Raw genomic sequence first — 24,608 nt, 5'->3', positions numbered from 1 at the left:
CAAGACTATTTGAAGAGACTTGGTAAAGTTGTCTAAAAATATTAGTTCTGACTATACTACAAAGTCACAGTTTTGAAAAACATTGCTATAAATACTTCTACGTCATGCTAGAATTATTACCCATATTAAAAAGCAGCACATGAAAGAAAACAAGAATATGACTTGTGCCATGTTTCTTTTAAATTCCAATCTAAGAAGCCTCCTTGCACATCTAATTACAGACCTTAATTTCACAACTATGAGCAGATAAGTTTCCATTCCAGAAACAGCACCAATTATTAGTTGTTACTTGAAACCGAAAAATTGAAGAATCTAACAGAGAACATGGCAGTTGACCACAAATACTTTGTTCTCTTCCAAAAATTCCTTAAAACTACAGTACATGAATTTTTCAAAAGTACAAATCCATCAAGTCAAGGAGATTGGAAAAGAAGCTGACAGGAAATGAGAGACATCTGCATTTTGGCAGCTGGAAAGCAAATAAACAAGTGGTGATTTTTCTTAGGAGCCAAAAGAAAGCTAACAACTAGTTACAGGCAAGGAAGCAACAAGAAGCAGGGCTTAGGATGAGGAGGTATCAGATAGGCTTGGCTCAATGTGTATGACTAAGTTACAGTTAGAAACGCCTAGTGGAAGGATCTGTACCTCCCTGCAAAAAATGCTTGTGTGCACTCATAAGACAGACTAGGAAATTGAGAGAAAAGGGTTTTACTGAAAAGTTTTCACTTCTGGGTTCTAAAGTAACTGCCTTGATGGGTTCGTATGGACCAATGTACAGACCTTTAGTTTCTGATGAAAAATAAGCTCAGCTGAAGTAGCTCATGCCATCTGCAAACTCATGACCAATAATGTAAATAAATAGAGGGAAAACACAATTAAATTTTAAAACCCACTTAAAATGAAATGAATTTGTCTGTCTCTGTGTATGTTGTGAGTATGGACCAAAATATGTCTATTTCTATTGCTCAGCAGCAAAGTTGAAAATAGCAAAGTTTTCAGATCAAAACAATGTCTCATCCTATGTGGTTTTTACCTGGTTGGAGCTTACTGGGATGATGCTGTGTTCCGGCTCCAGGTAGGGGAGGTGGGCTTACCCCTGCAGGCCCAGCACCCTGGGTTGGGCTCACACTGGTTAGAGTCCCCGTAGGCAATGGCTGGCCTCTCTTTAATAGCTGCTTCTGTTCTTGCTGGCGGAAGCGTGGAGGCACCTCACGAGGCAGGTAACGGGATGCAGCTGGCTGCTGGCCACTGGCAGATGCACGTTTGCCATTGTTGCTGCTTGAGATAGTGCTGGTGGAAGTACTGGTACTGGTACCGGCAGGTTGGGGCTGGCTTGAACAGGTCTTAGTAGGTTCTGGCACTAAAATGAATGAAAGGCAAAAGAACCCAAAACTTTAGCTAGACCCCTTTAAAACCCAACCCAAACCAAGGAAACCATAACCAAAAACTGAGAAAAAATGACAATGTAGTGCTTTGGAAACAGAACTGGACTAAAGTCTAGAGTTCCAAGTTTGAGACCTAGTTTTGCTACACACAAACTAATCTTGAGAGTCTGAGCCAGCTATTCCTGGGCCTTGGATTCCTCATCTGTAAAATCAAGGTGATACATTAAGACTGGAGCAGCAGTTCTCACCCTTGGTTTGCATCACAATCACCTAGAGGGCTTATCAGAGCCCAGACACCTGGTGCCAACCTCCAGACTTTCTGATTCAGTGTCAAAAAGCAAGGAGAAACTGGGAATATGCATTTCTTTCTTTCTTTTTTTTTTTAAGTGTGAGACAGTGTCTCACTCTGTCACCCAGGCTGGAGGGCAGTATGGCACCATCTTAGCTCACTGCAACCTCCACCTCCCGGATTCAAGTGATCTTCCTGCCTCAGCCTCCAGAGTAGCTGGGATTACAGGCGCAGGCCACCAAGCCCAGATACTTTTTATATTTTTAGTAGAGATGGGGTTTCACCATGTTGGCCAGGCTGGTCTCGAACTCCTGACCTCAAGTGATCCGCTCGCCTCAGCCTCCTAAAGTGCTGGGATTACGGGTGTGAGCCACCATGCCCGGCCGGAATTTGCATTTCTAACAATTACTGGGACAATGTTGATGCTGCTGGTTCCAGCACCTCTCTATGAGAACCACTGCTCTTGTTCAATATTTATAAAACGAAGGAATCTTTAGGTGTCCATGAATTTATATGTATTTTTGTTTTAATTCTGATGATAATGTATAAAACATATATTGGTGCATTCTGGGTTATCTGAATAATTAAAGCTAAATAATGACGTTTGAGTCAACAACTGACTCATATATGACAGTGGTTCCGTAAGATTATAATGGAATTGAAAAATTCCTATCGTCTGGTGACACAGCCGTTGCAATGTCACAACACATTACTCACGTGTTTGTGGTGATGCTGGTGGTAACAAACCTACCATCCTGCCAGTCACATAAAAAGTCTAGGGAGGCCACGGTGGGCGGATCACCTGAGGTCAAGAGTTCGAGACCAGCCTGGCCAAAATGGTGAAACCCTGTCTCTACTACACACACACACACACACGCACACACACAAGCCAGGTGTGGTGGCAGGTACGGGTAATCCCAGCTATTCAGGAGGCTGAGGCAGGAGAATTGCTTGAACCCGGGAGGTGGAGGTTGCAGTGAGCCGAGACTGTGCCACTGCACTCCAGGCTGGGTGACAGAGCGAGACTCCGTCTCCAAAAACAAAAAAAAAAGTCTAGCACATACATTATGTACAGTAGTAATTATGTACAGTAGTACATAATGGTTCATAATAACTATATTACTGGTTTATGTATTTACTATGCTTTTTATCATTATTTTAGAGTGTATTGCTTCTACATAAAAAAAAGCCAAAAACAACAGTTAACTGTAAAACAGCCTAAGGCAGGTCCTTCAGGAGATATCCAGAAGTCATTGTTATCACAGGAGATGAAACCTCCATGCATGTTATCTTCCAGTGGGACAAGATGTGGAGGTGGAAGATAGTGATACTGATGATCCTGACCTCGTGTAGGCCTTGGCTTATGTGTGTGTGTGTGTGTGTGTGTGTGTGTCTAGGTTTTTAATAAGTTTAAAAGTTAAAAAAAAAATTAAACACAGAAAAGAGCTTACAGAATAAGGATATAAAGAAAGAAAAATATTTTTTGTACAGCTGTGCAATGTGTCTTTTAAGCTAAGTGTTATTATGAAAGAGTGAAAACTCTTAAAAAAATTAAAAAGCTTTATTACTGAAAAAAAATTTTTTTAAGTAAGTTTAGTGTGGCCTAAGTGTATAGTCATGTCCTAGGCCTTCACATTCACTCACCACTCACTGACTCCTCAGAGCAACTTCCAGTCCTGCAAGCTCCATTCATAGTTAAGTGCCCTATACAGGTGTACCTTTTAAAAATTCTTTATAGCGTATTTTTCTTGTCCCTTTCCTATGTTTAGATAACATAAATACTTACCATTGTGTTGCAACTGCCTACAGTATTCAGTATAGTAACATGCTGTAGAGGCTTGCAGCCTAGGAGCAAAAGGTTCTATCACATGGCATAGGTGAGTAGCAACCTGTACCATCTGGGTTTGCACAATGACAAAACAGCCTAACGGTGCATTTTTCAGAACGTATCTCTCTGTCAAGCAAGGTATGATCGTACTACTGAATTTTAGTGTCAGCAACTGTGGTTTGGCGTCTGTAGCACTGCCACACTCTGCCAGATTTACTGGGAAAGAATGCAGTTGGGCCTACTGTGCGAATAATGAATTTGCATTAAGTGAAGGTCTAAAATCATATTAGAGTAAGTTGCATAAACAAAGATCTCATAGTAATTTAAATTTTAAAAAAGGAGCAGAAGAGTTGGGTGATAACCTAATAATAGGGTTTACTAATTAGCATGCCGAATGCAAACAGTGATTCGAGTAGTAATTCTGCACGCCGACATGTAAAGTGCAAGAGTCGGCGCCTCAATAGTCAGTCCCACCTCATCTTGTACACAAAACATCATTATCCAGGACATTACATCTATTTTGTTATTTGAAAACATTTTTGGTTTTCTACTCAATTTGTAAACATCACTGGTTTGATAGCTGAGAAACAGCTATGTACAAAATGAGTTTATGCCTAGTTCTGTACATACCTTTTATGTAGAAGAAACATTAAAAAATATTTTAAGTCAACATTGGGGGGTGGTTCATGATACGGTACTGTTTCCCTTTACATTGTCAGCTCCAGTCTACCTGCAGTTTTTGTCTCTCAACATGGACTTGGCCATCTACCATGTGAACGCTACATTGTCCACACTACCAGTATCCTCCAGGTCTTTGCCTCACTGTCTATCTGTCACTAGTGCCTGGCAAGTCCTTAGTCCTGGATGAACCCACTGTCTACTCTCCCTACTTCCTGACTCAGGTTGCTAAGTATCTCTCAAGAAAATCATGTGACATGCAGTTTGGTACTGCTACGAATGCATGGTCCTGGCCTCAGAACGCCCTCACTGCTTCCTGTCAATCCTGCAACTTCCTGGGTCTGCCTTGTTCCAGTGGTGTCAACAATTCATTTAGAGATCTTCCACTCCTGAGCTCCTAATCCCTCTACCTCCTTGTTCCCACTTCTCCCCATCCCCAGAAAATGAACTTGACTACTCTGCAGAAGAAATAAAAGCCATCAAGTAAAAACTCCAAGTTTCAGCGGGGGGCGATGGCTCACGCCTGTAATCCCAGCACTTTGGGAGGCCGAGGCGGGCAGATCACAAGGTCAGATCGAGACCATCCTGACTAACACGGTGAAACCCTGTCTCTACTAAAAATACAAAAAAAAATTAGCCGGGCATGGTGGCGGGCGCCTGCAGTCCCAGCTACTCGGGAGGCTGAGGCAGGAGAATGGCGTGAACCCGGGAGGTGGAGCTTGCAATGAGCGGAGATCGCACCACTGCACTCCAGCCTGGGCGAGACTCCATCTCAAAAAAAAAAAAAAAAAACCTCCAAGTTTCTGTCACTACAGATATATGAGTGTCACCCTGTTCTTTGTCCCACATCTGTTATTCCTATCTAAGGCTAATACTGTATTCCATCAACTCAAAGACGCACATCCCTTCACAGGTTACCATCACTTACATTGGGATGTGTCTTATGATGCCATGTCAGTGCACAGGCAGCATATTTTCCTTTCTTAATGGTATGTGCAATACCGATATGTCTCACAATCAATGGGGTCAGAGAGGCAATGCAAGGGGGCACCCTCCAAACCTCTGGATCCTATCTTAGGGACTTTGCGTGTCCTGGGTCTTCAACTCACAACTCTCTCCAAAGTAGATATGAAGGCCCAAAACATAAGATTGGGTCTTGGATCAATTCCTTGCTTTACAAGTATTTCTCTGTTTTTTTTCTAGCCAGAGTTTCCATATGATGGAACTGAATATAAAAAAGAAGAGGGTTGCGGTGTTTGTGTGCAGAGTGAAAGACATTGCATTTCCAACCTCTAACGGGCCCAGGGACTGTCTGGCTACTGTAATTAGCTCCTTCTCATCATCACTTGAACATGTTCAAATATTTAATCTCTTCACAAATGGCAACAATCACCTCTCCTGGACTCCACATTCTCCTCCAGCTCCTCCCACTCTCTCCTCTCCTCCTGCCAAACCTTCATGGAAACTGACTAGCCAAGGCCATAATTTCTTTCTTGCTGCTAAAATCCAAGGCCCTGTTATCTTTTGACCCCTCAGTCTTTGGACCAAAAGACCCCTCAGGTTGTCTTTATCAGCGACGGCCACTCCTGCCTTCTTCTCTATGCCACTATTTCCCATCCCCCTTGGCAGGTTTCCTGTTCTTTTATGGCTTTGTTGTCCACTCTTTTATACTTGATACACTTCAAAATCAACATGTCCCATATACTCATCAGCTTTCTCGCCTCGCCCTTCTGAGTATTTCAATCTCTCCTACATCTAATCAATCACCAAACCTTGTCATTTCTATTAATAGCTCCTACATGCCCTCCACCCTCAAATATCCCTCAATTTCACCCATCTATTTTCATTCCAACGGTCACCATTGGAACCTGGGCACCCTCATCTCTTAGCTGGAGTACTGTAAGAGACTCTCTCTAATCCATCATCTATACTGCAGCCAGTGTGATCCTTCTGAAATGCAGATCTCCTCCCTGGTTTAAAACTCTGAGGTCTTGTAACGCTCTCAGAATAAAATCCAAACTCTCTGCAAGGTCCACGTGGTCCTGAGCAGTAAGACTCCCAGTTCCCCAGACTTAGCTTTGAGGTTCAGCAAGTGCTAAACTCCCCTGTGAGCTGCTTGCTTCTTCATCTAACCACCACATTTCATCAATTCTAGGGCACATTTCCAAATATTTCAACATTTCTGAAACTGGGATGCATATTATAACTGACAATGAATATATCAGTTTAACTGGCAATTTTTTTCTTAGTGGTACATAAAATAGTGCATAATGCAATTGATAATGTCAGAGTCAAAAAACATGGTAATTCCCAGCTATTCTTTAAATATCAGACTAAATGTCACCTCCTCACCTAAGCCAGTCTAGGTGCTTCTGACTGAACATCCACAGTACCCGGTATTTGGCACAGCACTCAGCATTGTGTATGTTATTTTTTAAAATGACTGTCTTCTTCTCTAGGCTGTAAATTATGGCAGCATAGTGTTTGACAACAGTGAGTGCTAAATAAATGTTGAAGGAGTGATTGTTTTTCTCAAACATATAAAGTTTAAAAAATGCAGAGACAGCAACATCATGTAAAAAAATTAGTTGATGAAATAAAAAAATACTAAGGCTAGAGACCTCAAAAACTTGGATTCACTTCCACTAATAATATATATGATCTGGATTAAGTAATTTTCATATCCCTAGACCTCAGTTTTCTCATCTGGAAATGAAAGGTTTAGACTAGCTGACACTCTAAGGCTCCTTCTAATTCTGAAAGCCTATGGTTGAAGTGAAGCCCAGAGAACATGACATGCAGTTTTAATTCTGTGATGGCTAGCATTCCAGAGTCCACGGATTTCCTCTTCCCTATGTCCAGCCTGTCTCTGCTCCTATTTCCCTGGCCTTGATATAGACATGAAATACTTTTTTGTGATTACTTAAGATTTTAAAGTTCTTTACCTTTATACAGAATGAACATCCATTATATCTTTTAAAGAAAGGTGCAGAACCTATTTGTTACAAGTTGAAGTTGATTCTTAAATATAAATATATATATATTTTCCTGATAATGACCTTCAGCTAATTATAATAACAGAAAAGCTAATAGGTATTTACCCAAATGAGTTGAAAACTTTACGTTCATACAAAAACCTGCACACAAATGTTTATAGCAGCTTTATTCATAATTGTCAAAAACTGGAAGCAACCAAGATGTTTTTCAGTACGTGAATGGATAAACTGGTGCATTCAGACAATGGAACATTACGTGATTTAAAAAAATTAGTTATCAAGTCATGAAAACATAGAGGAACTATAAATGCATACTGTTAAGTGAAAGAAGCCAATCAGGAAAGTACAGTATGTAGAAAATCCACAGTATGTAGATACTGTCTGATTCCAACTACGTGACATTTTGGAGAAGGCAAAACTACAGGGATGGTGAAAAGATCAGCGGTTGCCAGGGGAGTGGGGGATGACTATGCGGAGCACAGGGGATTTTTAGGGCAGGGAAACTGCTATGACAGATACACAATACTGTGCATGTCAAAACCCATAGATATATAACACAAAGAGTGAACCCTAATGTAAACTGTGGCATTTAGTTAATAATAATGTATTGGCCGGGCGCGGTGACTCATGCCTGTAATCCCAGCACTTCGGGAGGCTGCGGTGGGTGGATCACCTGTCAGGAGTTTGAGATCACACTGGCTAACATGGTGAAACCCCGTCTCTATTAAAAATACAAAAATTAGCTGGGCGTCATGGCGCACACCTGTAATCCCAGCTACTCGGGAGGCTGAGGCAGGAGAGTTGCTTGAACCTGGAGGCAGAGGCTGCAGTGAGCTGAGATCGCACCATTGCACTCCAGCCTGGGCAACAGAGCAAGACTCTGTCCTAAAAAAAAAAAAGTATCAATACTAGAACATCAGTTGTATCAAATGTTCCACACAAATATGGGAAACTAGTGGTGGTGAGGAGAGGGAATACATGGGAACTTTATACTTTCAGCTCGATTGTTTTGTAAACTTAAAACTGCTCTAAATAGGCCAGGCGCGGTGGCTCACGCCTGTAATCCCAGCACTTTGGGAGGCCAAAGTGGGCAGATCACAAGGTCAGGAGATTGAGACCATCCTGGCTAACATGGTGAAACCCCGTCTCTACTAAAATACAAAAAATTAGCCGGGCGTGGTGGCAGGTACCTGTAGTCCCAGCTACTTGGGGGACTGAGGCAGGAGAATGGCGTGAACCTGGGAGGCGAAGCTTGCAGTGAGCCAAGATCGGGCCACTGCACTCCAGCCTGGGAGACAGAGAGAGACTCCATCTCCAAAAAAACAAACAAACAAACAAAAAAACCAAAAAAAACTGCTCTAAATAATACAGCCTATTAATAAAAAATGGAAATACAACCCACAACAGAGAAGAAAACTTGCTGTCTCTTTCACAATAGCAAACTTTCCAAATAAAACTGAGAGCACAATACATAGACACTTGTCTGGTAAACTTAGAACCACTCAATGTGTTTTAAAATTACAATTAGCATACTAACAATTATTTTTTCACACACTTTAATGTATCTGCCTCAAAAGGTTTTTTTGTTTTTGCTTTTTTTTGAGACGGTGTTTTTTTTGCTCTTGATGCTCAGGCTGGAGTGCAATGGCACAATCTCTGCCTCCTGGGTTCAAGTGATTCTCCTGCCTCAGCCTCCCAAGTAGCTGGGATTACAGGTGCCCGCCACCATGCCTGGCTAATTTTTGTATTTTTAGTAGAGATGGGGTTTCACCATGTCGGCCAGGCTGGTCTTGAACTTCTGACCATAGGTGATCCACCCACCCTGGCCTTTCAAAGTGCTGGGATTACAGGCATGAGCCACAGTGCCCGGCCAGGCTTTTTTGTTTGTTTTTTGAGACAGGGTCTCACTTCCGTTGCCCAAGCTGAAGTGTAGTGGCATGATCACAGCTCACTGTAGCCTTGGCTTTCCGGGCTCAGGTGATCCTCCCACCTCAGCCTCCCAAGTGGCTAGGACGACAGATGTGTATCACCATGCCCAGCTAATTTTTTGTATCTTTAGTAGAGATGGGTTTTTGACATGTTTCCCAGGCTGGTCTTGAACCCCTGGACTCAAGCAGTCTATCCACCTCAGCCTCTCAAGTGCTGGGATTACAGGCATGAGCCACTGTGCCCAGCTCAAAAGTTTTATTCTAGACTCAACAAGTGCTTCTTGGGAAGCTAGGAATATTGGTTCTTTTACTACAAAATTCAAAAGCAGTAGCAGCAGAAGAGGAGGAGGAGGAGGAGCAGGAGAAGGAAGGAATAAAAAAAGAGAACTATTAGCAAGCTACAGAAATTTTTGTGATGAAAAACCCAGTTTCTCTTTTGTAAATAACTGACACTGGATGGCTAGCTACTATAAAAGTCAAAGTACAGTCATCCTTCAGTATCCAAGAGGGACTGGTTCCAGAAACCCCCTTGGATGCCAAAATCCACAGATGCTCAAGTCCCTGTTATAAAACAGGTTATTATTTGCGTATAACCTACGCATATCCTCCCGCATACGTTATGTTGTTAATTTTTAATTTTTTTTTTAGAGACGGAGTCTCACTGTGTTGCCCAGGGTGGGCTGGACTTGAATTCCTGAGCTTAAGTGTTCCTCCCACCTCAGCCTCCCAAATAGCTGGGACAATAGGTGCATACCACCATGCCCAGCTCTCCTATATATTTAAATAATCTCTAGATTACTTATAATACCTAATGTAATTTACATGCTATATAAATAGCTGTTATACTGTATTGTTTATGGAATAATAAGAAAAAAAGGTCTGCACATGTACAGTACATGCACTGCATCAGTACAGATGCAACTGTCCATTTATATTTCAAATATTTTTGATTGACAGTTAGTTAAATCCATGGATGCAGAAGCCACAGATAAGGAGTGCCAACTACACTTGTACTTCTACTTGTCATTTTGCCTTTTAAAAGACTCGAAATGAAGAAAATGCACCAGAACTCAAAACCTGATGGAAACAATTAGGCAAGGACTCAGAAGCAAAGAATTTGAGCTGACAGGAACCTTAGAAATCATCCAGTCCCACCCTCATCTGCACAGACTCAGGCAACCGAGATGATATGGCTGAGATGACTGACCCAGCTACCACTGGGACTAGAACTCACATCTCTGACCATGCTTTTCCACCATGCTGCTGTTAATCTTTCTTAAATGACTGAAGGACAAATTCAGGGTTGTTTTTCTTCAAAACCTTCAGAGGAAAAGGAGTTCATGCTACAGAAAGGAAGAAGTAAGCAAATCATAGATGAATGTTATCAGTCCATTTTTCAATATAAACCACCAAATTCTAAGACATTTGGATATGGAATATGGTTTCCTGTGTGCTACCTGCCTGATGCATTATGTGTAGTCAATCTTATATCTAAGACAGACTCATTTTTAAAGAGTCAAAGTATTCCTAACCAGTCTTCCCTTTCCACCTTGAATAACTGTTATGTGAGTAGGGCAGGACTGGCAGGTGAAGTAAGAATGCCCCTTACATTTTTAAAGGATGGGGGAAAAACTCAAAGACAAATATATGACAGAGACCATATATGGCCAGCAAAGTCTAAAATTCTGGGAATGACCTTGGTGAGAGTCTCACTGCCTCTGGGCATCTTTTTGGCCCAAAGGCTAGACCTACAGGAAAAGAGCCAGATACTAATAGAGTTCCAACTACTTGTAATATTAGACTATCAGACATAGAAACCTTCCAGAGGAAAAATCCTGGTAATATATCCCAAAGTCTTATGTAGGTATTGTTTTATTTTAATTAAAAAATTATAAATAAATAGACCAGGCATGGTGGCTCACACCTTTAATCCCAGCACTTTGGGAGGCCGAGGCAGGCAGATCACCTGAAGTCAGGAGTTCAAGACCAGCTTGGCCAACATGGTGAAACCCCATCTCTACTAAAAATACCAAAATTAGCTGGGCATGGTGGCATACCCCTGTAATTCCAGCTACTTGGGAGGCTGAGGCAGAATAATGACTTGAGCCAGGGAGGCAGAGGTTGCAGTGAGCCGAGACTGCGCCATCGCACTCCAGCCTGGGTGACAGAGTGAGACTCTATCTCAAGAAAATAAAAATAAAAAAATAAATAACCTATTCCATGTCTCCTCTCCATAATCTTTTTTATGATTACTGAATGAAAAGTTAAAATGATGCTATTTATCAAGAAGAAACAGGAACATATTAAGTATGGAGAAATGAAATCACTCTCTTAGAAACGCAGGTGCTTTTACTTTATAACAGCCTTGAGCTATGAGCACAACAGGACCAGTGAACGAGCACAAGCACATCAGGCTTGTCTGAATGCGTGGCCCACGCCCCTCCTGTGCCCCTCAGAGACGCCTTTGTGCTCTGCTGGCCCTCTCACTGCTAATGGACTTCAAGTCTTTGTACTCATTCTCCAGCCCTGGACTCTCTGGAGAGGTTGTCCATGCTCACCATTCTGACCATCATTTCTGTGCTACTGATGCCTGAGTACTGTCCCAGTGTTGCCCTCGAGCTCCAAGTCCAGCCTCCTTCTTCAGCTACCTACTGGACAGTGCTGCCTGAAGGAAGCTTTCTTTCCTACTAAACACATCCAAAAGTCAAACAAGAATTTCCTGGTCTGAGTCCAGGACTGTGTTGGTTGCCGTAGGAAGGCACTGGAGCACTTAGGTTTCTCACTTAAGTGAATCAACAATGAACTGGGGAAATAAAGAAGACACACAGAGTATTTAAAGCTTGTGCAATTGACTGGAAATCTCAGACAAGTGTAGAGGGGAAGGATGACCATGTGCTGCCCAGTACAGCAGCCACTGGCCAAGTGTGGCTATTGAGCCTTGAGGTCTAAATTGAGATGTACTTAGTATTAAAACATATACTGGATTCTAAAGACTTAGCACCAAAAAAAAGAGAAATACCTCATTAACAATTTTTCTGTTGCTTTCACATTGAAATGGCGATATTTTGGATATATCAAGTTAAACATTATTAAAAGTAATTCCGCCTGTTACTTTTTAGATGATGCAACTAGCCTATTTAAAATGATTCATGTGGCTCACATTTGTGGCTTCCATTATTTCTTTTGAATGGTGCTGGTCTAGAAATGGCATTGTATTATTGGAAAGGATAAAGTTTAAGCTAGTTTCTCAGAAACCGCTAAATAATTACCTGTTTTCATAAAGACTGAAAGTGAAACAGAGATTGAGAAACTACAAGTTGTGACAGATCACAAGCTTTTTCAGGTGGGAGAATTTCCCTTACAACTATTTACTCTACACTAAAGTACTAGCACATTATTTTACAAACAGAAAAAAATGCCACAAAGCATGTATTCAATTAATAAAAAGACCAAGGGTCCCGGAGTATAATGCAAGCATGGCACACTCAGTTTACCCACGTACTTGTTCTCACAGTGATATTTCCAGCTTGCAATGCTAATGCTATGGCTGGTAGTCTACAGGTCATCCTGGACCCTAAGAAAAGGGAAGAGAAGCCTCACTCAGCAAAGCAACAGACAGAGGAATGCGGAATTCTGACCCAGTTGAGCTGTACACCTCTGGGTCTCTTTTATATTATGCAGTGATAAACCTTCTGACTTAAGCCAGTAATTTTTGGATCTTTGAATCAAGCAGCCACTTAATAATCTGAAGGGATAAGTGGAAGATCTCAAAATCTGGATCTATTCTTGTAACACAGATAAATTAAATGGGCATTTTCTTTTTTTGTCTAGCCATAAACTCTTTTCAGATCCTCACTTATGGGTCTATTACTGTCTAAAAAACCAGGGCATCAAAGCAATCTTGACATTCCCCTTCTTCAAAAAGACCTGACTCTAGGGCCATACCTCACAGATAAGGACTCACATGGGAACCTACCCTTTTGCATATCAGCATTTTCATGCAGCAGGAGAATACAGGAAGGCAATGGGAACTTTAGTTTCTTTATGATTTTTCAACAAATCATTTGTTTTATTTAAGAAATATTAAGATAGCAACCATTTAATAACTACATATATAATTTTAAAAAACTTTCAGCAAGATGGAAATTTTGGTTACTCTTTGCCTAGTAAGCTTTTGCCTTTTGTTTTTTAAATGAGGGTGACATCTGCTGGTGAAAAGGTAGATGGTAACTCTTTATATAAGAAAGCAACAGTCTTTTAAAACAATTTTCTTTCCAAGGATTTTCTGCTTTCAGCTAAAATTTTCAGGTAGTGTTGTCATAACAGGGCCAAATAGAGAGATTCCCACATTTTGCTTTTTCTAAAATGACAGGCTACAGTATGGACACAAAGTTCAGGCTGCTGTCCCTTCAGACTTTGGAGAACTTGATTTTGAAAGAGCTCCTTTTCAGACTTTTCTACTACATTGTCATCTCTAAGATACCAAGACAGAAGGAACTTGCCTTGCTGACCCAGCCTCGTTAGCCTCCAGTCTACCCTTGCTAGGGTCTGAGCCTTTTCAAGTCCTGGCTGCAACCCCATTCTCTCTGCTTCTTTCCTAGCCATTTTAGTTGGCTTGAGTCTCATCATGCTCAGTCACTTCAATATCGTCATCTGTAACAGCCGAGGCCCCCGACCTTCCTTCCTTTCACTATGCTTGCTATCCATACTTCTGTATCATCCCAACCTTCAGTCATTTCCAGACCGCCTGACACTGCCACATGTAGTCTCAGAAACAGCAATGAGCTCTGTTACCTACTAACACTAGCATAAGCACCTGCTGCCACCAAGAATTCCTCTTACTAACCTAACATGGACTGCCAAAACCCCCCTCTTGTAACTGCTTAAAACTTTTCCTGCACTCTGGAATCCTGATGCCATCCAGCTTCTCTCAATCTATGGCCTGGATTTCTAGTTTATAGAGACAGTACTCACTCATTCAATAAATACAGAGGTTTTCTACAGCTCAGCCTCCTCTAGGCTGGGGCTGTATCAAGGAACAAAAGAGAGATCCCTGGCCCTGTGGAGCTCACATCTTAGTAGAGAAAAAGGATCAATAATAAACTTGATGTGTAAGTAAGATACATGGTTCACCAGGTGTAAAGTGCTGCAAAAAAAGGAAAGCACGGTAAATAAGGGCTCAAACTCGTTGTTTTCCCATGCAATCTGCCTACCATTTGCTCCACCCCCCCAAACATGTCAATATCCCCACCTATCCTCTCCTTATTTAGAAAATATTTAATGGGTTCCTATTCTGTGCCAGGCACTGTGAATACTGAGTATTATATAAAAAAACATGGTTCCGGCTGGGCATGGTGGCTCACGCCTATAATCCCAGCACTTTGGGAGGCCGAGGCGGGGCGGATCACGAGGTCAGGAGTTCGAGACCAGCCTGGCCAATATGGTGAAACCCCATCTCCACTCAAAAAAATACAAAAGTTAGACGGGCGTGGTGATGCACACCTGTAGTCCCAGCTACTCTGGAGGCTAAGGCAGAAGAATCACTTGAGCCCGGGAGGTGGAGGTTGCAGTGAGCCGAGACTGCGCCACTGCACTCCAGCCTGGCGACAGAGCAAGACTCCATCTCAAAAAAACCAAAAAAACAAAACAAAAACCAAAAACCAAAAACCATATATATACACACATATGGTTCCTGTCTTTATAGTTTATCATATAGTAGAAGAGACATTATCTTTAAAATGATTTCACAAATAGAAAATTACACATTGTTGTAAGCATGATAAAAGGAACAGTGGGACAAGATAACCTAATTTAGGGATTCAGAAAGCTCCTTTGAGAAAGTGACAATTAAGCAGAGCCTGAAAAAGTATGTCAGGGTTAGCGAGGTAGAGTATGTCTGTGTGTATGTGTGCGCACCTCGTACCTACAAACTCACTCCCACCAGCCTAGACAGTGCATGGGAAGGCCCTGAAATGGAAAAGAGCTTCTCGCCTTCGGGGGCTGAAGCCTAGCAGGGTTGTTTCACAGGAGGCTGGAGAGGTAGGCAGAGACCCTGGAAGGATTTTGGATTGTATCACTTGACCTATAGCTGGGAGAGCACTGGGTGGTTCCATGGATGGATACTCCTCAGTGTTCCTGCCTGGCTGCCACACTAGGAGAAGCCTGGAGCCTCCAGTTTCAGAGAGAAACTCTAGAGACAGGTTGCTACAATTGTTAACCCATGGTGAGCTGAACAGCTGTGCAGTCATGGGTTACCTAAGCTCAACAAGCACTTCAAGCTGTTGAGGTCTCTGAGACCCTGTGCAGACTCTAGAGCCATGTGGTTGGGAGAGGAGGCAGCGGTGCCCTCCTTGTTCAGCTCCGCCACCTGAGCAGGAATGCAACATGGGAAAAGAAGTTCCCTATGATCCACCTTACATTCCTCACCCTGGTCTGAACAGAGCAGGAGAGCAGGAGTGGGAGCACGCTGAGGTGCTTCTATCTTATTCAATCACCCAAGTCATAACTACCAACACAGTCTTTTCTTTAAAAATTTATTTAGAAATATTTAAGACATTTTTAAAAAGGCATAAAGACCAAATAATCAACAAATCTCCATGGAGCCAATCTCCAGCTTAAGAAATAAAATGTCCCCATTCCACCAAAGCCCCACCTATCTTTCCCTCCCTGACTGTATACTCCACCTTCCCCCAGCAAAGATCATCACCATTCAGAACTGGGGGTTTATCAGTTCCATACACTTCTCCTGAGAGGGAGTGCAGTAGCTACAAGTATGGCCTTGGGGTTGAAACTTCAGCTCTGCCACTTCTTTGCTGGGGATCCTGGATAAATTACTTAGCTTCTCCATCCTTCAGTCATGCCATCCATAACATGTGGGCAAGGGCGGGGGGATAAAAGGGAGCTAAGAATCCCTTACTGAGAGAGTTCCTTGAGGATTGATTGCTAATCTACGTAAAGAATGGTTTAGAACAGTGACTGGCACTTAGTACACAGTAAGCGTTTATAGTATAATAATCCTCCTCCTCTCAGAAGCAATGGAAGCCACAGAAGTTAAATAATCATGTTAAAGGAGGAACCACAGAGAATGACCTAAAGAAGGGAAGGCAGGCAGAGACTGCAGCAATTTAGAAGAGGTAATGACAGCTGTACTCAGGAATGGAGGATTAGATCTTACTCTGGTTCTAAACCACCCCCCTTAATTTGGTTCCCATATCTCCAACAGTTTGGAAAGTGTTAGGCGCTAGATGAATGTTAATGAACAGCCATCCCATTATTTTAAATGTTTACAAAGCAAGTAGTTAAAATGGTCTCTCCCACCCACCACCACAGGCACACCTGGTGCAGGACTGACAAGCCTGGCACACAGCTTATGCAGCCTCCGTGCAAGGAGAGCTGAGGCTAGGGATCTGGTTCCCCCAGTTACATGTGAGTGCATGTGACCTGGCAGGTACTGGCTGTGGGTGCCTGTAAGCACAGTACTGGAGATGGTGGCAGTTTCTGTGCAGGGGCCACATTCCCAATCGCTCCTTTTGTGGCTGAGAGAGACAGTGTTAGTGCCGCTTCCTGACCCCTGGTCTGCGGCAGTGGCACTGTGCTCTAGAAGTCAAGAGAGCCAATAGGGCCTCTCAATTATTCCTGGAGGTAGCAGCTCTTCAGGGAACTCTTTGGGGAGTCATTTCTGAAGGCCCAGCCTAGAGTTTACCCCCTTCAGCCCTTTCAGTGATTTTATACGCACCCAGTCCTCCATATTTTAAACCCATTTCTGCTTATAACAGCTAGAGTAGTTTCTATATTCTTCAGCCGAAATCTGGTTAAGAGCATATAGACTTTTTTAGCAAGGAGTTTTATTTATTTATTATTGAGATGGAGTCTTGCTCTGTTGCCCAGGCTGGAGTGCAATGGCATGATCTCGGCTTACTGCAACCTCCGCTTCCTGGGTTCCAGCAATTCTCCTGCCTTGGCCTCCCGAGTAGCTGGGATCACAGGCGCCCACCACCACGCCCAGCTAATTTTTGTACTTTTAGTAGAGATGCGGTTCTGCCATCTTGGCCAGGCTGGTCTGGAACTCCTGACCTCAGGTGATCCGCCCACCTCGGCCTCCCAAAGTGGCTGGGATTACAGGCTGAGCCACTGTGCCTGGCCCAAGTAGTACATTTAAATCTTCCATCTACCTAGACAACATCACAGTATGTGGTATGAGCTAGGTATACCACTGTTTCCCAGTAATGGCATTTACTGTTAAAAGGATCCTCAATTAGAATCCCGTGGGCTGCCACCATTAGCCTAAAGTATAATAACAAGTAGGTGTGAAATGGATGAGAGCAGTATATTTTAAAACTAACTTTTTATAGGTAAAAATGCTAACTGGGAGGGACATTTTTAACCCACACATTTTAACACATCTTCTTTCTGAAATTTGGATGCCCCTTACAATTGATGTATAAATACAACAAGGTTTCCTCATTCATGCTCCACCTCTGTCAACAGGACGTTATTGAATAGATGATATGTCCTATGACTGATGTCATCTCAGAACTTAAGAAACAAGCTTTTGTAAGATAAAGCATAGAACTTCTCTTATGCATGGACACCCCACACAATGAAAAAAATTGTCAAAAATCAAGCAGTAATTCTAGTCATTTCAGAATAAATATTCAAAGATTCAGAGTTTCTTAACATTTTAAATTTACTCAAATATAAGATTGTTTGCAAATGTGACTATGTAAGAGAACTATTCTCTTGTGCCAACATAATCAGTGATTCCAAGGAATATTTTTGTTATTACAATTTCTTCTGCAGCCTATACAGCAGCAAACATTGTGGCGAGAAGTTGCCTTAGAACAATGAGATGCGAGCAGAAGACAGCTCTGAGTACGGAGGGTCCATCTGCTGTGCTCATCAGCAGTCCTGGAGGGATACAAAGTGGTGCCTTCTGTTTGTTCAGTGGATGCTTCTGGCTGATCTATCACCGTGGCAACATTTGGAGCCCAACTCAAAACAAGCACAGACTCATTAACTACAAACTACATTAACTTAGTGTCTGTTGCTAATGAGAAATGCCGTTCAGAGGTATTTTCTACTCTAGCATATTACAGTTACCTCTCTAAAAGGTACCAAATGCCACTCTCAATACATCACATACTAGATAACATGAATGTTAAAAGAAAGCAAAATTATTTTAATAATGACTACAAACAGTAAGAATCATTTCATTAAAAGGTTACTTTGTTTTGGCCCTTGGATATTCCTGCTGTAAGAAAATGTACTATGTATCATATATGCAAGCACATCTAAGTTCTTTTTAAACAACAGGCTTATTTAGAAGATCAATTTAGAAAATGCCGCTAAGAGCATATGTTAAAGCTGAGTAATCAAGACAGCATTAATGCCTACTGGCTCTCCTGTAATCTTCTCATATGTAACATTGATCATAACTCTCTCCAAGTGAGGCAACACACTGGACAAAACATTAAAGGCAAAGAAAGTCCACTGGGTGTAGAGCTTGTCAGTTCCCTTAACTCCTTCTTGACCACATCTCTTTTCATGCTAAATCATCCTGAACTAAATGAGCTCTCAGAACAAATGGCAAATCCTAAATCTCATGAAACACAGAAGATTTAAGTGGAATTATGTCTCAAATGTGTTCTCCCAGGACTGATAAATTGGGAAATAGCAGTAATCTTAGGTATTTTCTCTCCAAAAGTGCAGAATCCTACAACCCGCCAGAAGAGGGAGCCAAAGTTAAACTACTCCAACATTTAGTAAGACAAGGCTGGTGCAGGAGGAGAGAAATTGGCCTTATTTCAAACTGATTTGGAAAAGCCTTCTTATTCTCTTAGGCAAAAGAGCACAACTCCTCTTTGATGCCTCGCATAGTGAACCAATCCCCATCTCTCACTTTGGCCTCACCTCATACCCTGCTATTTCATAGCTTCCTGTTTGTTTAGTTCATGGAAAATGTCATACTCCATACGGCCACAGGCTCTTTACAGATGCTGTTCCCTCTCTATGTAGGAGTGTTCCCTGGCCTAGTTGGGTCCTGCTCACCCTTCAGATTCAATGATACCTTCCACAACTCCTGCCAAGTTTGGGCTCCTTTGTTGATGCTGTCACACAGTCACCATCCCAGTTAGTAAGGATACATGTATCACTGTGGTTGAGATTTATGTCCATTCCTCATAAGACTCAGCTCCATGAGAGTGGGAAGTGTATCTCTATTTTAACATTTTCTTCCCATAGCAATCAGCACAGTACCAAGCAAATAGCAGGTGCTCAATAAATATCTGCTGGATCAAATGATTAGTTAGCTCAGTTAGTTTCTAAGTTCTGCCTACTCTATCAATCATCACTACCCTTCCCTGTCTACCCCCGCCACTTAGCTAGTAAGCTGGAGTCTGACCTATGCACTGATCCAACTGTACCTGCTGCCTCCAGCCCTCTCTCCTCCTCTGTTTAATTCGTCTTCAATTCTGCAGGTTCAGTGATCTTTCTAAAGCACAAATCTCATGATGTCACTCTCCTACTTAAAACTCTCCAATGGCTCCCTCTCTGGTCCAGAAGATCTAAAGTCCTTAGGAAGGTGTTCAAGGACTCTATGAGCTAGCTTCCCACCTTCCACCTCTCTCAAAAGAGCTGAAAAACAGTTTCAACTCTTTTTTGGGTAGAATAGCTTGGTAAGGGTGCTCAGTTTTAATGACCTGATGGACGGGTTTAAGATGACTGGGATAAGGCAACCCCTCCTTGTCCTTGCTTTCATAGCAAACTTAGGGCACAACTGGGAGTGGCCCAGCTCTTGTATGCACTTACCTCATTCATATCAGTATTTTCCTTTCCCAATTCTCTCACTTACTTTTAAAAACAAGTTATCTTTTCTTATAGAGATGCAAATATTTGATGAAAAGATGACCAAACCTAAATCCTTTCAGGTAGAAAGTGTGAGATAGATAAATCACAACCAACTTCACTGACCATCTGCTGGGTCCTCACTGCACTGGCCACCACCTCACTCAGCAGCTCCTCTGCTGCCAACATTGTAAAATTTCTTTTTTGTACTTTCCTTAGAGCCTGACTTCTCATACCTGGAAGCACTGGCTCCCTATCCGCCACTGGCCATGAAATGCTTATACTGACCTACTGACACCTGGCTGAGATAAAGCAGTTACAATGCCCAGAACATTTTATTGCATTCATTTGCATATACATATATTTGCTTATCTGCCTGGCTCTTCCCACTAAAATATCTCTTTGAGAACAGGGAACTTTTTTAAAAAAGCCTTTATTTTAGGTTAGGAGGTACATATGAAGGTTTGTTACACAGGTAAACTCATGTCATGGGGGGCTTGATGTACAGATTATTTCATCACCCAGGTATGAAACCCAGTGCCCAACACTGATCTTTTCTGCTCCTCTCCCTCCTTCCACCCTCCACCCTCAAGGAGAACCCAGTGTCTGTAGTTTCCTTCTTTGAGAACAGGGAACTGATCTCTGCCATCTAACAGGTATTTATTAACTGTTTAAGTTAATTAATGAATTAACTAGCCATCTCTAGGTAGCAAAATGTGACTAATATTTAGCTCATTTATTAATGTAATCTTTGGTTATGCTAAAAGCTAGATAAAATGTGATTCTATTTGAAAGTGCATATTTTCTGATATTACTATTTACAAGTAACTACACACATAGAAGGGCAATGACTGAGGCATGTAGACAACCTGTAGCGATGAGTCTTTCTGCCCAACTCTAGAGGCCAATTTAGTATCAGAAACCAATCTGGAAAAAGAAAATAAATAACAATGAAAAATGGGCAAAAGACTTTAAAAGACGCTTCACCAAGATGACAAATAAGCACATTAAAATAAAGTGCCACATTAGTCATTAGGTTAATGCCAATTAAAAGTGTAATGAGATACCACTACATACCTATTAGAATGGCTAAAATTATGAAGATGACCATACCACACATTGGTGAAGATGCAGAACTGTGAAACAGTATAAACACGTTGGGAAAGAGCTGTGTGCAATTTCTTGAAAAATGAAACATACACCTATCATATGCCATAGCCATTTTACTATTATACATTTACTCAAGATAAATGAAAGTATATAGCCATATAAGACTTGTACATAAATGTTAAAAGAAGCTTTACTCAATAGCTCAAAACTGGAAAAACGCAGATGTCCATGAACAGGAGAATGAAGAGGATAAATAGCTGTGATACACCTACACAATGGAACACTGCTCAGCAATAAAAAGGAATGAACTACTGATACACACTACAGCATGGATGAATTTCAAAAGCAATACACTGAGTGAAAGGAGCCAAAGTGCACAGTGTAGGAGTCCCTCAATACAATGTTCTAGAAATAAAAACTCTTTTATAGTGGCAGAAAGCAGATCAGTGTTTGCCTAGAGACAGATGGGGGTAGGGTGGGGACAGAGGAGATGGATCAGAAAAGGTCACAAGGACACCTTCAGGGATGATGGGTGTCATCTTGATCATGGTGATGGTTTAACAGGTGAATATATGCCAACACTTATCTATTTCTTCTCTTTAAATATAATGTCCACAATAACTCAATAAAGTTGTTTTTAAAAAAACACAGAAAAGAAACTGGTCTGGGTAAACAAATTATTTTTTAGACAGCAGACTGTCAGCATCCTTTAGAGTTATAAACTGTAACTTTGTCTAAACTTAGAAACTGCCTTTATGTTTAAAGTTTTAGTGAAAAGTTATATGAAACAGAGATGTGAACTTTCACTTTATCTGAGACTCAGGAGAAGTGCCCTCGGGAGGCGCCCCCGGAGCACAGCGCCCCGCTTCCTTGCCGCTAGGCTCACTTCCTTTGTTTCACAATTTGTTCAAGAACTTATACGTTCATGTACCTACTCAGAGGTTCTGGCAATACATTTTTACCCTTTTGAATAACCTATATATTTTTAAAATGTCTCATCTTAATATTTTTTTTGTTTCCATGGAAAAAAATTAATGTTTATTATATTTCCCCCTGGAATTTAACAGTAAAATAAACACTTTAAATATAAAGCAACATAGCTAAAGAAAGACATATCTAATATTTCAAACCTAAAAGATGCCATCCCCTAAAGATACCTCATACAATCAATTTCTTAGGAATTTCCTTCAGCCTTATTTGAAAACATCCTAAGTGTCTAAGTTCCTTCCTAAAATTAATAATTATACTGACAACAAATACAGAATACTCATGTCTCCAGCCCCATTATGTGGTTGTAGAAAAAACATATGAAAAACATATATTTCTATGTGTGACTATAAAATTGGGAAGATATGCTATAAACCTCAATTCTTACTACTTTTCATTCTGATTGATATTAAACTTTATATGTTTAGAATGAGCCTAAGCACACTGCCAATACTTTGTGACTCTAAAACCTCCATCACTCAACTGAAGACTACTGGAAGACTATGGCTTCAACTGACTTACATTATTAACAAAAGCACCTAGAGGTTTTGTTTACCAATTACAAACTGAACGCATGGTAAAGTTTAATACCTCACTGCAAAACTAAAATTATACTCTTTATAAACAAGATTAGGATACTAATTAAATGTACGAATTTGGGCTGAGCTGGTGGCTCAAGCCTGTAATCCCAGCACTTTGGGAGGCCAAAGTGGGTGGACTGCTTGAGTGTGAGACCAACCTGGGCAACAGGGCGAAACCCTGCCTGTATAAAAAAATACAAAAATTAGCCAGGCACTGTGGCATGCACCTGTAGTCAGCTACTTGGGAGGCTGAGGTTGGGGTATCACTTGAGCCTCGGAGGTGGTGGCTGCAGTGAGCTGTGTTCGTGCCACTACACTCCAGCCTGGGCAACAGAGTTAGACCCTCTCTCTCAAAAAAAGTATAAATTCAGATGTATATGACTTAAAAATCATAATTCAGGCCAGGGGCAGTGGCTCACGCCTGTAATCCCAGCACTTTGGGAGGCCGAAGTGGGCAGATCACGAGGTCAGGAGATTAAGACTATCCTGGCAAACATGGTGAAACCCTGTCTCTATGAAAAATACAAAAATTAGCTGGGCATGGTGGTGCGCACCTGTAGTCCCAGCTACTCTGGAGGCTGAGGCAGCAGAATTGCTTGAACCTGGGAGGCAGAGGTTCCAGTGAGCCGAGATTGCACCACTGCATTCCAGCCTGGGCAACAAGAGCAAAACTCCATCTCAAAAAAACAAAAACATAATTCATTAATGATATGGACCATGAACCATAATGGGTCATGAAGGTATTCACTTTCATACATGGTAAGATTAACTTTGAGCTTTTTGTATGAAAACATCTACTTTATGAAGTTAAACAAATCTGGCTAAAAGCACTGAATTAAATTTTCACATTTATGAAAATTATCATAGTTAATCATTAAAAAAACCCTCACTCAATCCATGAAAACACCCAGAAAACAATACTGAAAACTTAGGCTCCCAAGGTCATCATATCACAAATAAAGCTATTATTACCTGTGCCTCAATTAAGGGCAGTGCCAAAAATAAAGAAAACTGATTACTCATTATGGTCATAAAACCCATGCCAGTCTGAAGTGACACTTGGACCCCAGTTACTCCACAGAGAGCTACAATGCACAAGTTAATGGCAACAGGATTATATCTGATTCCCTTTTCCCCCAGTATAAGAGCATCTAGGGTCTCACTAAGGTAACAGGTAATTGTGTTCGGCTGTCTCTTTCTTTGGTCACCAACGCAAAGACGATATTCAGCAGAATTTACAAAGGGCTAGTTTATGAATAGGCTCCCACAGAGGTTTTCAAATTGCTTGGTGCAGCTCCTTGAAGGGATAGGGATCCAGGAGTGCTAACTGCGGGGGAGCAGTGGAGAGTCCATATAAATATATATTTATGTATATGAATTCATAGAGAGATGCATTCAAGGATGGCTAACTGTTAATGGGTAAATATCTCAGGACAGAGGAATTTCGAGTGAACTTTAATTTCTCTTTAGATAATCTCAAATTATTTTCAATCAGAATATATAACTTTTGTTTTTCATCACAGGAGGGAAAAATAAGAAAAAGTTGACTACAACAACAACCCAACACTCTGAGACAACTAAGGAAAAGGCCTCCAGGTTTAGAAACATGCCCAGACTCCTTAGGAGTGCAGGATGTCAACCCCACTGGAGGGTTTGCAGACTTAGAGGCATAGAGGAAAATCAAGGGGGAGTCAAGAGGAAGAAACTGATGAAAGCCAAAGTGAATCAACTATTTGAGTGAAAACCCCCGGGGCTGAATAAAAGTGTATCTCCTGGCTGCAGAGAAAACGTGGTTCCCATGATCACATCAGGGTAGGATGGGGGTATGAATGTTGGCAGCATAGTGTTTCACACAAACGTACTCACTTGGCCTGAATCTTAAAAAGAAAATGACCCAAAGATATCACAGGTCAGAATTTGAAAAGATAGCCAGGAACAAAATTTCTGTTCAGTGGTAATTTTACAAAGCAGACTTCCTAGAAAT

At 41.5% G+C, this 24,608-nt stretch overlaps 1 protein-coding gene across 19 annotated transcripts in view; it reads right to left on the bottom strand.

Moving 5' to 3' along the window:
- Nucleotides 1-24,608, bottom strand: part of TNRC6C (trinucleotide repeat containing adaptor 6C) — a 151,279-nt gene that overhangs the window by 75,960 nt on the left and 50,711 nt on the right. For 18 of the 19 annotated variants that reach the window (NM_001395512.1, NM_001395509.1, NM_001142640.2 and 15 more), the window contains one exon: nucleotides 1,034-1,360. Coding sequence is in view for 16 of the 19 variants with exons in the window: in NM_001395509.1 (NP_001382438.1) it covers nucleotides 1,034-1,360 (327 nt within the window). In the remaining 3 variants the exon portion in view is untranslated. Of the gene's footprint in view, nucleotides 1-1,033; nucleotides 1,361-20,815; nucleotides 20,874-24,608 lie in introns of all 19 variants that reach the window. The other variant, XM_047436496.1, reaches the window with a different exon arrangement.

The sequence above is a fragment of the Homo sapiens genome, chromosome 17 (genome assembly GCF_000001405.40).
Source record: "Homo sapiens chromosome 17, GRCh38.p14 Primary Assembly".
Lineage (NCBI taxonomy): Eukaryota > Metazoa > Chordata > Mammalia > Primates > Hominidae > Homo > Homo sapiens.
This window is presented reverse-complemented; position numbering and strand designations above follow the sequence as displayed.